This window comes from Homo sapiens, chromosome 2 (assembly GCF_000001405.40).
Source record: "Homo sapiens chromosome 2, GRCh38.p14 Primary Assembly".
NCBI classification, from domain to species: domain Eukaryota; kingdom Metazoa; phylum Chordata; class Mammalia; order Primates; family Hominidae; genus Homo; species Homo sapiens.
The window spans coordinates 211606563-211620904 of record NC_000002.12 but is presented as its reverse complement, the minus strand read 5'-3'; the positions used below and the strand labels follow the sequence as shown (position 1 = coordinate 211620904).

The 14342-nt window shown below is 34.8% G+C and overlaps 1 protein-coding gene across 11 annotated transcripts in view; it reads left to right on the top strand.

The window, feature by feature from the left end:
• ERBB4 (erb-b2 receptor tyrosine kinase 4) overlaps positions 1-14342 on the top strand; it is a 1163086-nt gene that overhangs the window by 917898 nt on the left and 230846 nt on the right. For all 11 annotated transcript variants that reach the window (NM_001042599.2, NM_005235.3, NM_001439006.1 and 8 more), the window contains one exon: positions 1630-1728. In NM_001042599.2, the coding sequence (NP_001036064.1) occupies positions 1630-1728 (99 nt within the window). The remainder of the gene's footprint in view (positions 1-1629; positions 1729-14342) is intronic.

Sequence of the window (14342 nt, the reverse complement as noted above, 5' to 3'; positions counted from 1 at the left end):
TGAACTCCTGAGCTCAAGAGACCCTCCTGCCTCAGTCTCCCAAAGTGGTGGGATGAGCCACCATGCCTGGCCTATATTATTTTAAAACTACACTTTAGGGATACTTTAATATTGATGCCATGTCTTCATAAAGTAATCTTCTCTGTGGTTACTTTATTGAATAATGAATAATAAGCCTGTTTTCCACCCTAGATAACATCAGTGAGAAAATGAAGCCTTTGAGTATTGGGCTGTTTTCTTTTTTCTGTTTCTGCTTTATTTTCTTTTTAATTTTTTGCAAGGAACTTGGCTTATTATTTTGCATTTGGCACATAGATTTCCCTATTCATTCTGCCTAGGAAGAATGCAACCATAAATTCACTTTCTAAAAGTTAAAATCTTTTATTTTCTTTATTATTGTTACTATGTTTTAAAATAATTCTTGTGTTCAGGTCTCCTGATGATACTGCAACTTTGAGTAACACAAATACATATGTTGTAGCATAAAAGTTCAAAGTGAAAAACTTTTTGAATTTTTTTTCTTTATGACTATAACTAGCTGATAGTAAGAAAGACAGGAAGTAAAGATGTTTTGTTCAGGAATAACAAACTATTATTTTTCATTCTTTCATTTTAATGTTAAAAATCTTATAAGAAATATTTTCTGATGTCAGGGCTAAGAAGCTAAAATTTGAGATTTTTCGGTTTTTGTCCTCATGCTCTCATATTTGCTTTTGCGTTCATTTGGGAAAATACACCTTTTAAAATGTATTCTTGTACAACCTGTGCATCCTTGTATGTCTTATCAAAATCATTGTCCTCATTCAAATGCTATAATTCACTTTACCCAGAAATGCTATTATTTAGCTTAATGTTGTATTTCACTCAAACTCTACCAACTTTATACTTTCCCAAGGGATAAATCCTGTTCAGATATTATAATTATATTTTGATAGGAAAAGAGAACTAACAACGGCCAATATAAATATTTTATATTTCTTCAGAGATAATAAAATTCCTTCACGCACACACATATACACATGCTTTAATAATGTAGACAAATTAATATGTGCTCAATATCCCCTAGCACTTGCCTTTGAAAAATAAATCTTAAATATTCATTCTTGAAAATTAATTCATAAATCAATCTGAACTTGAAGAACATGAGAATATGCTTTTTTAATTGTTTTTCTTGCTGCTGAATATTTAGATAATATTCAGCCTGAGAAGAACCTCTAACATTCCTTAGCCCAGTCTTCTAAATTACAGATGATACAACTGAGCTTCAAAAAGTAGAGCAACCATCTCAAAAAGTCGATGATACCATCCAAATCAGATATTCTTTTGCTATCCTATTTCCATGCTGTCTTCACTATTCAAAGCCTTTTTCATGCACACAAGTAGAATTTGACAGTAGTGTAAACATCTTGAAAGGATATATATTCTATATTCTATATATGTAATCATGTATATGAGCAACATCCTCAGATAATGAAAGCAGACAACAAAGTTGCAGAGTAACTTGTAACATGTAACAGGTGCTAAATAAACATTTGTTGATTGAATGTTATAATATCAAACTTCTAAGTTACTTTGTAAGAACTTAATAGGTTGAGATGTCATATTTAATGTAAATTTTTTTCCCCAAAGGGTATTTGGGTACCTGAAGGAGAAACTGTGAAGATTCCTGTGGCTATTAAGATTCTTAATGAGACAACTGGTCCCAAGGCAAATGTGGAGTTCATGGATGTAAGTACAGACACCCAGGCAATCACATTTTTCTCCATTATCAAATAGCCTGCTTAGATAATTAAAGCAAAACAAAACCAAACTCCACAACTTACAAATTTCTCTTATGGAAATATTATAATCTTATAATTAAAGACATTTCTAAGACCAATTCACATTGTATTATACTTTTTAGATCACTTTTGCTTCACAACTGTCTGCCTAGATAGGTCACTAGAACTTGCCTTTAGAGTTTCAAGATATTTACAGTCCCCAAGGTGAATTATCTACATTGATTCAGACATGTAATGTTCTTAAATTTTCTTGTTAAATATAACCAAATAGCCCTCCAGTGAGAGCAATACATAATTTCAACGGAAAACCAATTGCATTTAATAACCAAAGCTCATGTGTATATTTCTTAAAATTAGTTGCACTGAAGAGTGTTAGAAAGACTATGTGGTGGTGGTAATAAGTCACTAATATTTACAAAGTATTTGCTAAGTGCTAAACACTGTTACAAATAATTCACAAATAATAATTTACTTATTCCTCAAAATATGACAGACCAAGAACCTGGGGTTAACCCAAGGTTACCCCAAGGTTAGAAAGTTAGAAAATGGCAGGTCTAGACTTTGAGTTCAGGAAGCCAAGCTTGAGTAGGTATCAGTAAACTTTTTTTTTATAAGGCTGGATTATAGTCAGGCTTTTATATGCTACGTGTTCTCTGTGGCAGCAACTCAACTCTGCTCTTTTTGGTAGGAAAGCAGCCATAGATAATTAAAGCAAAACCAAACAAAACAAAAACTAATGCAAATGGGTGTGACTGTTCCAATAAAACTTTTTATTTACATAAATAAGCTGCAGGCCAGATGTTGCCTAAGGGGAAAGCAGGGGCTAAAATTGATAATTTGAAAAATTAACCATACTGTTTTATTTTATTATGGTTATGATCTATTTAGTTGAAAACATCAATCAAGATTAGTTTCTATAGCAAGTTAGTCTCTGTTAAATTTAAATTAAGAACCTACCTGAGTCAAGTAATTACCCCTTGACATTTATTTTTTTAATTCAAATTCAGAAGAAAAGACTCTATGGGTTAAAAAACTCCAACTATGAGTAAAAAAGTACTTTTTAAGGTCAATCAGAACTTGAAGATTTCCCCTAGCAAAAATTGTAGATTTGAACCGGTCAGCAAATTTCAGAGTAGGATGGAATAAAATTATGTATTTATCATGCCGTTATTTTTTCACATTCAATACAAGACATCTTGCCAGGGGTTCTATCAAAGACCATATATGTTCTTTCTCTATCTTTTAGCATAATGTCTTGAGTAATAAGAATGATTTCTATTTTCAAATGACCTTCATATGAAAAATGATGCAAGCATATGCACTCTGATTTTTTTAAAAGATGAATTGCTATATATCTCTATCCAGTTTCTCTTGTAAGCTCCTTTACAAGTTTTACAGGAGCTGTCTTTGACCTTGAATAATTTATTTATGTATAATGCTAACTACTTTATATAAAACTACTTTCAGCCTATCTTATTATTGGTTCTCATATAGTAGGTTGATAATCAGCCTGTACAAACCAGCTTTTCGGATTGGTTGGTTTCATGCCTTACCAGTTGCTAAATATTTTAAATATCACCTTGTTGCATATCTACCGGCATCTATATAACAGTAAGGCCAAAAACTAAATATTGTTTCTTTCTCCAGTTCTCTAAAGTTTCTGACACGCCACTGCTACATGTCCTGGCTCATATATTAAAATTTAAAACTGAAGCCTTTTTCAGTGATATGCCAATTATTCAATTTGATCTTGATCATAACTATAAATTTGTGAAGGGAAATTTTTTAAAAAGTAGAAGTTATAAAGGAAAATTACAAAGAGTAGAAACAGTATAGGTTAATTTATAAAACTGGTAGAAAAAATCTTGCCAGCCTAGACTACAGCCAAAGCTGAAATTCATGAGAATGCTAATAATCTCTGCTGGAGGCTTGAACAGACATTTTTGTCATATTTCCATGGAAACAGACTGGCAAAAGGGGGTTAAGAGCCTACAAAATAATCACACCTAAGAAAAAATCTCTAAAATCCTCATCATGATTTTGAATGATTATTTGAAAGCTCCTAACCCCATCCATTTTTTTTCTTGATCTGATGTATATTCCCATGGAAACAAGAGTGGAGATGGCAGCTTGAAGTCTTAGATTTCTGCTGAATTTTAGATGAGGCTCTGGTTGAGCCATGAAAGGAGTCATTTTCCTAGATGGTTGATGGATTTGGTAACCAACAGATTCAGAAGACTCTGTTCTCTTTAAAAGTTAAAAAAAGTTAAAGAAAATATTTTGACTGTGCCTTTTCTCTTGTGGATAGATGCTGGAAGATTAACAGATTGATGGACAGCTATCAGCAGAGTTTAATAAGTACCAGGCAGAAACATGTCCTACTATTTTCGAGACTTCTTTCAAAACATTAGAAGGATAGCATCACAATGATTAAAATGCAGTTTAACTGGCAACATCAACGGTGAATTTAGTATCTAATGCAGGCTGCTCTAATTTTAACATAAACATAAGCCTATATTTCATACCTACATTTTTAGCTCATTGGTTATGTGTGTAGATCATTATAAAAGTATTTGAATAACAAACCACAAAAAAGAGGTAGGTTCAAGAAAAATTATTTGTAATTTGAATCTAAGGGTTGAGTTGAAATTATAAATATTCCAGAGTTACTTGGTTAAAAGTAATAAGTTTAACTTGTGTTAGTTTGGGTTCTTACAGATGCAGAAGCTACCCTTGAAATAAGAATGTGAAAGTCATTTATTTTGGAGGTGAAGGACTCATCAATGGGGGAGTTTAGAAATAAGACAGGAGAACTAATAAAGCTAGCTGCCGTTGTAAGTGACTGGAGCTTCTTTTCACTGGAGAGACTCTGGCAGCCAGTGTAGGACATACACCTCAAAATTACCCCACTCAAGGGTTAAGGGAGCTGAGGGTGTAGAGCTGCTGGGAAAGAGCCACACTTCACCCCCTACATATCCTTCCAGCCAAGGATGGCAAAATAGGCTCAGTGGAAAGAGAAAGCTGTCAAGCAAAGAAAGGTGGGTGGGGGTCATCTGGTATAACACTATGGTAGAGTGTTCCAAGGATAACTTTCAAGCTAAATAAGATCTGCTGCAACCATGTTTCTGCAAACTAGCGTATGTGCATATTTGTATTTGTATGCTTGTTTGTACAGTTCTTCAGGGGAAAAAAGCTTTCAAAGACAATGGAAATTGCACAATCTTATTAATCATTAGACTCCCTTTTCTCCACTCTAACTTTATGCTTGAAATAGAATATTCTAGATTCAATAACCACTACTCTATTCATCACACATAGCTGTGCTTTACTGGTTATTATAATAAATAACACAAATGTGGCAACTTAATACTCAAAATTTATCACCACAATGAAACTTCTATTGATATTCAAGGGTAAAGGAGAGGACTTTTATATTTTCTTAGAATTTTTACCATAGGCAAAAAATAAATAAGGGGCAGTTTGTGTTCTATTAAATGCTACACTAAAAGCAAGAGAAGGAGAGTTTGGTCACCCAGGGCTGTTACTCTGCTCACCCGAATATGTCTAATGGATTCATAATGACAATAATAACACACTGCTAGTGAATGACCAGTACATTCTTCATTCCCATAAAGAAAGATCATATTGAACAACATTAAGAAAATGACTCTAAAGGCGCACCTTCATAAGAATACCTGCATTTACACCTGCTCCTAGTTCTTGTTTCAGACAGAACCATTTCACAGGGAAAATGCAGGCTTTTTTGTTGTTTTTTGTTTTCTTTTTTTTTTAAATCCACAAAATGGTGCAGAACACATACATAAGAAATGATGCTATTGAACAAGATTCTTAAAATTGGGCACCACTATCTCATGAAATCAGACAGACTATTCACTTTTTCTGAGTTCCCTTCACTCTGTATTTTTCCCCAGTATTTAAACCTAGTAACAGTTGACTGTTTTTAAATGTTTTATCTAAATTACTTGCTTTCTTAAAAAAAATGAAAGAAATTATGTAATTATTCTCAATTCTAGTGACTACTCAACAGTCATGGCTTTGCATTCGCATGAATTTTTTTGGCTTTTGTTTCAACTTTTCCACACCAGATTTACCACAGTGAGATACTGCAAGGAAAAGTGTTTTAAGTCATCTGACTTTATTATGTAAATGGTAATATTCTTATTAAAAAGAATAGCTTGTTTTTCTCTATATATACCATAGGAAATTTTATTTATCTTACACAACTGCTGTTATCCTATTTTCTGAAGAAATGTTCATGTGAATAGTCTTTGTATGTTTCTCTTCTCCATATTTCCATTTGATATGCAGTATCTTGATGGGAATTATTTTAAATCTAATTGATATTACATTAATCAAGTGAAATGAATATAATTTATCAGTTTACATTTTCTCTTAGAGTATAACAGGCTTATAAAATTATTTGAAAAGGTATTTTGTTCTATAACATTTTCACATTATAAAATTTCATGTGTATGGCTTCACATAGTAACTCTTAGCTATATCCTGTTCCATACTAATAGTGGATTTTTTATTCTTAATTTTTGTGGGTACAGAGCAGGTGTATATATTTATGGGGTACATGAGAAGTTTTGATACAGGCATGCAATGTGAAATAAGCACATCGTGGAGAATGGGGTATCTATCCCTTCAAGCATTTATCCTTTGAGTTACAAACAATCCAATCACACTCATTAAGTCATCTTAAAATTCACAATTAGGTTACCATTGACTATAGTAACCTCGTTGTGCTATCAAATAGTAGGCCTTATTCATTCTTTATATTTTTACATTTTATTTTATTTAACCATCCCCAGCCCCCTACTACCTTTCCCAGCCTCTGGTAACCATCCTTCTACTCTCTATCTTCATGAGTTCAATTGTTTTGGTTTTTAGATCTCACAAATAAATGAGAACAGATGATGTTTGTCTTTCTCTGCCTTGCTGATTTCACTTAACATAATGATCTCCGGTTCTATCCAAGCTTTGCAAATGACTTGATTGCATTCTTTTTTTACGGCTGAATAGTGCTCCACTGTGTATTTGTACCATGTTTTCTTTATTCCTACATCTGTTGATGGACACTTAGGTTGCTTCCAAATCTAACCTATTGTAAGTAGTGCTGCAACAATCATAGGAGTGCAGATATCTCTTTGATATATTGATTTCCTTTATTTTGCGTATATACCCAGCAGTGGAATTGCTGTATCGTATGGTAGCTCAATTTTTAGTTTTTTGAGGAACCTCCAAAGTGTTCTCCATAGTGGTTATACTAATATACATTTGCACCAACAGTGTATGAGGGTTCCCTTTTCCTCACATTCTTGCCAGCATTTGTTATTGCCTGTCTTGGATGTAAGTATTAAGCCATTTTAACTGGGGTGAGATATCCCATGGTAGTTTTGATTTGCAGCTCTCTGATGATCAGTGATATTGAGCACCTTTTCATATGCCTATTTGACATTTATATGTCTTCCTATGAGAAATGTCTATTCAAGTCTTCTGCCCACATTTTGGTCAGATTATTAGATTTTTTTCGTATAGAATTGTTTGAGCTCCTTATATATTCTGGTTATTAAACCCTTGTCAGATGGCTAGTTTGCAAATATTTTCTCCCATTTTGTAGGTTGTCTCTAGAACTAGTAAGCAATCAGCAGGAGCCTCACATTTGAAATTACTATTTCAAATATCTCCATCTTCAGCTACATTCTCCTGCCTTTCTAGTTCATTTTCCTTTCACTGACTCTCCTTTGTCTCACGATCCCTCAGTGCTTCCTATCTCACATCTCTCTGCAGCCCGCTTAGATTCATGGACCATCATTGTAACCATGTTCTTACAAAAAATCTTCAACTTTCCTGCTTCTTAAAATCATACAGGCAGTAAGCAATATCAGAAATATTGAAATATCTCAATGCAAAGTTCTAGACTTCTTTTCAATCTATAAATTTTTCCTAGATCATCTCACTAGACTACCAAGTTCCATCTCTAGTCTGTTTTGTGAATCTGACCTTGTCTCCATCCTTAATATTGCCACATGGAAATCTCAGGGACGTCCCAAGTCTAGCACACCTTGAATAGATGCCTTCATCCACTCTTCTCAATCTCTTCTGCCTTCGATTTCACCCATTTATATATTTTGTATCTGTATCCACCCTATTGTCCCTACCAGAAATTTGAAATTTATCCTTGAATGTCACAACCCCACAAACAACCAACCTCCAATTCGAGAGTAAATGCTTTGATTCTATGCCAAAAACACATCTGGACAATTTCCTCTTCTTTTTATACTCTTTTGTCGTCATCTTAATCTCAGCCCTCAACTTCTTCAGCTTAAGTTATGAGACTAGATTTGATCTCCCTACTTTTTAATACAAAGCTTGAATTGTGCAGGTCCTCTGCATGAGACCTTTAGTGGCTTTACTAAAGTAAAATATCAGATTCTTAGCTTACAGAGCTCCTGATTTCTTTTCCAATAGTCTTTCTCTTCACTGACTTTCTTTCCACTCCCCTTATAAGCCAAGCCAGTCAGTGCCTTCACCTGGAGTTTTCATCTTCCAATCATACCTAATGAACTCCTAGTTATCCTTATTTTCTCAGCTTAAGTGTGCTTTCTCAAAGAGCCCTTTCCTGATTTCTAAAGTTATAACTTACTAATAGTACTCAGAAATTTTAATAAGTTATTATATATTAATATTATTTATCTTAGTTTTTAATTGTAGAATTCCACTCTCCACCACTAGACTACAAGATCCTTGATGACAGCAAATATGTCTGCTGACTCCATCACTGCATATCTATGAGCAAGCACAATATCAGCACATAGGAGACAGAATAACTACTTGGTTAATTGTCTGAATTGATTTTTTTTTCCATGTTTTAAAGACTTATTATTCTCCTTTACATCCTCTCTATACCAGCCCAATTAATTTCTGTGATATTTTTCCCAATTGTTCTATCTTTATTTAGCATATTGTAGTTGGAATAATTTTTCTTAGGTATTTATAGTGCTCATATATGATTCATTTCTACAAACTCAATTTAAGATCTGTCTTGAATTTAGAGTGCCAGATGAAACACAGAGAACTAGACCTTCCGTTTTGACATGGTATTCATGTACCCTCTGAAAACCCTTTGAGGAGGAAGACCCTTGGAAGATTTTTTCCTATGCATGCAATAGGCCAATAACTTTCCTTAGTTTCTATTAGGGGAACCTGTTTTAAGGGAATCTTGTGAGTGCTTGCCTGTTAGTGTTTCCATTATACATGGGAGGGTAGTATTAGGTTTCATTTTTAGCTTCTTACTTCTGAGTTCTTGGTGACTTGTGTAGTAATTTGGGATACTGTTTGCTTCTCCAGCTAAAACGTGCATCAGGATCTCTTCTCCTTTTGACCTCTCTATTTTATTTTCTGTTTCAGTAAGAGTGAGAATACAAGGATGAAAAGAAAAATAAAGTTGATTTTATCACAGATTTTGGCAAAAATAAATAAATGAAAGCAGTCGTGAGATGAAATTCTTCTTTCGATTGAAGGTTTTTCTTCATCGAAGGGTTCGTGGTCTCACGGGTTTCAAGGAATGAAGCCGTGAACCACAGCAGCAAGTGTTACAGCTGGATTAGAGCAACGTGCGGACCTAAAGAGTGTGTGGCAGCAAGACTCATTAAAGCGAAAGCAAAAGTAAAGCGAAAGCAAAAGTAAAGCTTCCACACCTTACTTTGGACCCAGAAGGGTTGCCTTTCTGGCTTGGGTGTCTTATGCTTATATCCCCTTATGACCCCTCCCCTTTTCCTTTTTCTGTCCTACAGAATTAGCTTATTTTCTATCTGCTTGTGGGTTGGCGGGCCCGATTGGTTAAAAACATCAGGCTGCAGCTGTAGCTTAAACTCCCTATATGATTGGTTGAAGTTTCAATCCCTTAGCTTGCAGCTGTGGCTCATTTTGGCTTAGGGGAAAGTCCCCTTAGGGAAGTCCCTATTGACCCAGGAAGTCCAGCCAACATAGCCACTTAGTCCCTCAGTTGACTGCAGGCATTTCCAGTTGAGAGTTAACAGAATTTAGTAGTGATCCTAAAATTTGAGCTTTAAATACTGCCTTAGGGGATACTAAGACAAAGTGCTTGACAAGTTTTGCATTCCAACAGGCTTAATTTCTCCATTGAAGTACCTAAAAGAGACTATCCAGATCCAATACAGGTTGCTCTCCGTAAGCCTCAACCTGTAACTTAATTAACTTTTTGTCTGCCTCTGTTTCTCCGAAGCATTTCTTGAATTTGTGTGAATGAAAGGACATTTCTCAAGAGCACATAGTCTACTGCACCAATATTTGCATTTAGTAAATGGAAATCAGTTGTCTGTTGAAGACATCGTTTTCCATATTGTAGGTATTTTCCAGCTCTCTAACCTACAGTTTGTGAATTTTGTACATGACTAGAGGATGTGTTATGATGCCACATAGGGCTGAAAGAGAATTAAACTAATCATGTGCAATTTCTTATTCCAATCTGAACAGCAACCGATACTTATGATGACTTAGGAAAAATCCCCACTCAGTTTGACTGTATCACTAGGAGGAACAGTTTCTAATATTCAGCTGTTCATAAAATGCAGGTAGAAATCTTTTGCCCAAAGGACAAGCAAACACCAGAAAATAGAATTTCCAAAATATCAGCAATTTCCAATATGTCAAACCTCAATGGTTTTGTTAATGATCTGTTTCCAGAGTTAAGGATACAAAATACTGTTCCTGCAGGAGGAAGGGACTATCTGCATAAAGTCCTGGTTTGCATTATATGGCATGAAGTAATTAGTTATTCATAGGGCAGTAATTTGGTTAAGGGAAAAAAGGCTTACTATGCTGTGATAATTGCAATAGGCACATATGTATCTAATAAAATCTAATAAGTCTAATAAAAAGACACATCTAAAAATCTAATAAAAAGACATATGTATCTTTACACATGTATGGTATGTGGATAAAAGATAAAAATTCTCTTCATCTTTTTTTTTTAAGTTTAATGATACCGTTGGGTAATTACTTATTACAATGATCACATGGCTGGCATTGCTAAAAATGGTATTACAAAAGCGTCTACTTTACAAGGATAGCTTAGAAAATTTTTTATGATCGTTTCCTCAAAATAATCAAGAGAATTCCTCATTTTACTTAACACCACTGTTGTTATCAGTCAGAGGTTTATGTCTACAATTTCCAAACCATAGACTGACAGAAACTAAAGAAATGGACAATAGGTCTGTTTTTATTTACCTGGTTATGTCCTTAAGTCATGGACAGGAACTTTGTCAGTGTAGGGGCCAAGGCCCTTGGTTTCCTAAAGGTTTTTCTTAAAAACTCACTGACATGATGCAAATTAATAGGAGGAAAGGTAGCAAGACCCCATCTCTACCAGGCATGGTGTCCTACCCCTGTAGTCCTAGCTACTGTGGGAGGCTGAGGTGAGAAGATCACTTGAGTGCAGCAGTTCAAGGCTGAAATGAGCTAGGATCCTGGTGCAGCATTCTAGCCTGGGTGACAGAGCAAGATCCTGTTTCTGAAGAAAAATGCCTAATTAAAAGACTTTAAAATGTATTTAATGAAGACCCAAAGATACAGGGAAAATTGTCCATTCTTATGCTTAGGTTCAAAAAAGTATAGCCAGACTTATGGAAATATGATTGAGTGTGAAAGAGTGTGATCTAATATTAATTGAGTGAGGAAACCCAGCAAGGCCTGTCTGTCTAAATTCTTGTTGATTTCTCTGAGCATGCATTCTTTCCTACTGGGTGTGGGGGCAGGGCCCTCTCTGGAATGTGGGTCTAATGACCTACAGTCAAACAGGTAGGTCAGATCATTCTTTTATGGCCAGTTTTTACATAGAATATTTTCAGATTTTATGGCTGGCTTTCAGGAAAAGGGGTTCTCATTTGTATGCTCTGTCTGGGGAAAGAGGGATTCTAGGTTCTATGGCTTGCCTTGGTGGAAAATGGGACTGAGCGACAGGAGGACAGGAGAAAGTCAGAGAAAAACCTTTGCTTCTTGGGCTGCTGCTGAGGCCTTCATTCTGGTGTATAGTCTGCATACCATCATCACCCTTAGGAATGGTCATAGTTAGTAAAATGGTTCTCTCAAGTAGAGGGTTAGAGATGACCCCAGATTGCTAGAAATCTTCTTAATGTTTAGAAAGTGATTCCACATTGAGGGGCAGAAGTCAGTAATCCTGGATCACATGTGGGCTGATTTCCATCCAAATTAACTGAATATATTAATGTAAACAAGGGTGAATTTAGGTATGGTTTTATTTGCACTAATATCCTCCTGCCCCTTTTCTAATTACAAGAGCTAATCTGTACAATAAGGAAATGGAGTATAGTGGAAAATAATTTAACTCAACTGCACACCAAAGCCAGGGTGAAAAAGGATCAGCCTAGCATTCCTTGGTTCCATTATCCACCATGAATCCACTATTAATAGCAGAAATATTTTCCGAAGATTTTCTAGAACCACATGTAGCATTAAGATCAAAATTGTAAATTATAAAGAATTAAATGATTCTTTGTATCTATATTGGGCTACAAGAATGCCTACAAACCAGTATTAATATGCCTATTTTGAGAGAAGAATAAAGCTTACAGATAGTATTTAAATCATTGTTCTCATTGCAAAGCCGATAAGGGAAGACAGAGCCTGGATTTGAACTGAAAGTTCCCTAGCTCTAAAGTCAACTGGCTTCTCATACCATTACTCTGCCTCCTCCAAAAGATCACATTAAATGAGAGGCAGGTGGGCCACATGTAACAATACCTGTGGCAGTTCAGTCAAAAGTTTTGTTTCTTCTGAGTTTTTCTTCTGATTTCCTTCAGCTGCCCGCTGCATCGATGGAAATCAAGCTTTGTTCAAGAGGTATTCTTACTGTTCAAAGCCAGTTGATGGCCTCATCTTTTTCTTCTTATTTATTATTGCTCCATATGACATTTTATGTTACTCACTCTTACTCTCAGATTAGAAAATCAAACTGTGTATAACTTTCTTAAAACACACATACACACACAAATCCTCTGAATTTATTTAAAAAAAAAAAGATTCTGGAGCCTGAGCATGGTGGCTTATGCCTATAGTCCCAGCTTGTTAGGTGGGTAGATTGGTTGAGCCCTGGAGGTCAAGACAGCAGTGAGCAGAGATCGCACCACTACACTCCAGCCTGGGAGACAGAGTGAGACCCTGTCTAAAAAAAAAAAAAAAAAAAAAAATCTGATGCGAAAAAGTTTTTATAAATATTGCATAAATGTTTTAATCATTAACGCTTTTCATGAAGTGATTATCATACAATCTATACTTATTTGAGTCTATTAAAACAATCATAGTATTCTATGTATACTACATATATAGCTTGTTTTTTTCCCAAAAAATGCTATTGCATCTCCTAAGAGGCCATCTTTTTGGTGCCTGTTGCTTACAGTTTATGTATAGCATGGCATAGTGTGATTAGAAAAAAAATGAGCACCTCTGAGGATTACAATTATGAGACCAGTTCGTCACAGACGAATAAGCAATCAGTGAGGGTGTTGGATCTCAAAACTAAAAAGCTTTGAGTTTTCTACAGTGATCCTTGCTGCTGCAACTTTATCTAGGGTTTTGATCCACTTACAAATTTAATCTAACCTCTCTGAATTAAATATTCCATTATCTGTTAGAAAATAATTAGAAGCTGTAAGTAGAAGTCTGCATACACAGAGTTCTTTGGGAGTCCCTGAGCTCATTGAACTGAGGAGTTTGACGGATACTGGTCAGCTAATATTGGACCACAAGCTAATAATAGCAAAAATGCTGCTTAGCTAGGTGAGAAAGTTAACTTGGGGAAAATGAAAATGAAACATTTGGGATTTATGGTCAGAAATAAATTTCCCTTTTTCATTTGTTTCCTGGTAAGAAAATAGCCAAGGGAGCCAGTTATTTTTTCATTTTTCTTATTTTTTTAAACAAGTTATAATTAAGATCTAAGGGCCCACTTGACCTCAGCTCTATTGACTATAATTTCCTTCTATCCCTACAAAGAATTTTGGTGAATCAGGAATATGTCTAGTATAATGCGTACAAATAATAGGTAAATCTGACCAGTAAATTAAAAATTGTCAGCTCTAGCAAGCATGTGGAAAATTCACCATAGGAAACATGTGTAAGCTTTTTGGGAGACTTGCGAACACAAGGGGTTTGAGTATAACATCAGAAAAGGTTTTTCCTCTTGTGATTAAAACAATGCACCCAGTGCCTTTAAAATAAATTTATTTCAAAATGTGCAGCATTCACTTACTTAATGAATGTGCTACTATACTCTTACGAAAGAAAACACATTTTATTCTTTTGCAGAACGGCGCTTCAAAATACAATATTCTTTAGTTTTTCATATAATGTTGATTTTAAAAAGGTAAATTTATGAATTCTCTTATTTTACTGGGTTTATGGGTATGAATATATTTTGAAAATGTTCTGTTATTCTTTTCACTTGTACATACAATTATCTCACATATAGTGACCATAACAACATTTTTAGTG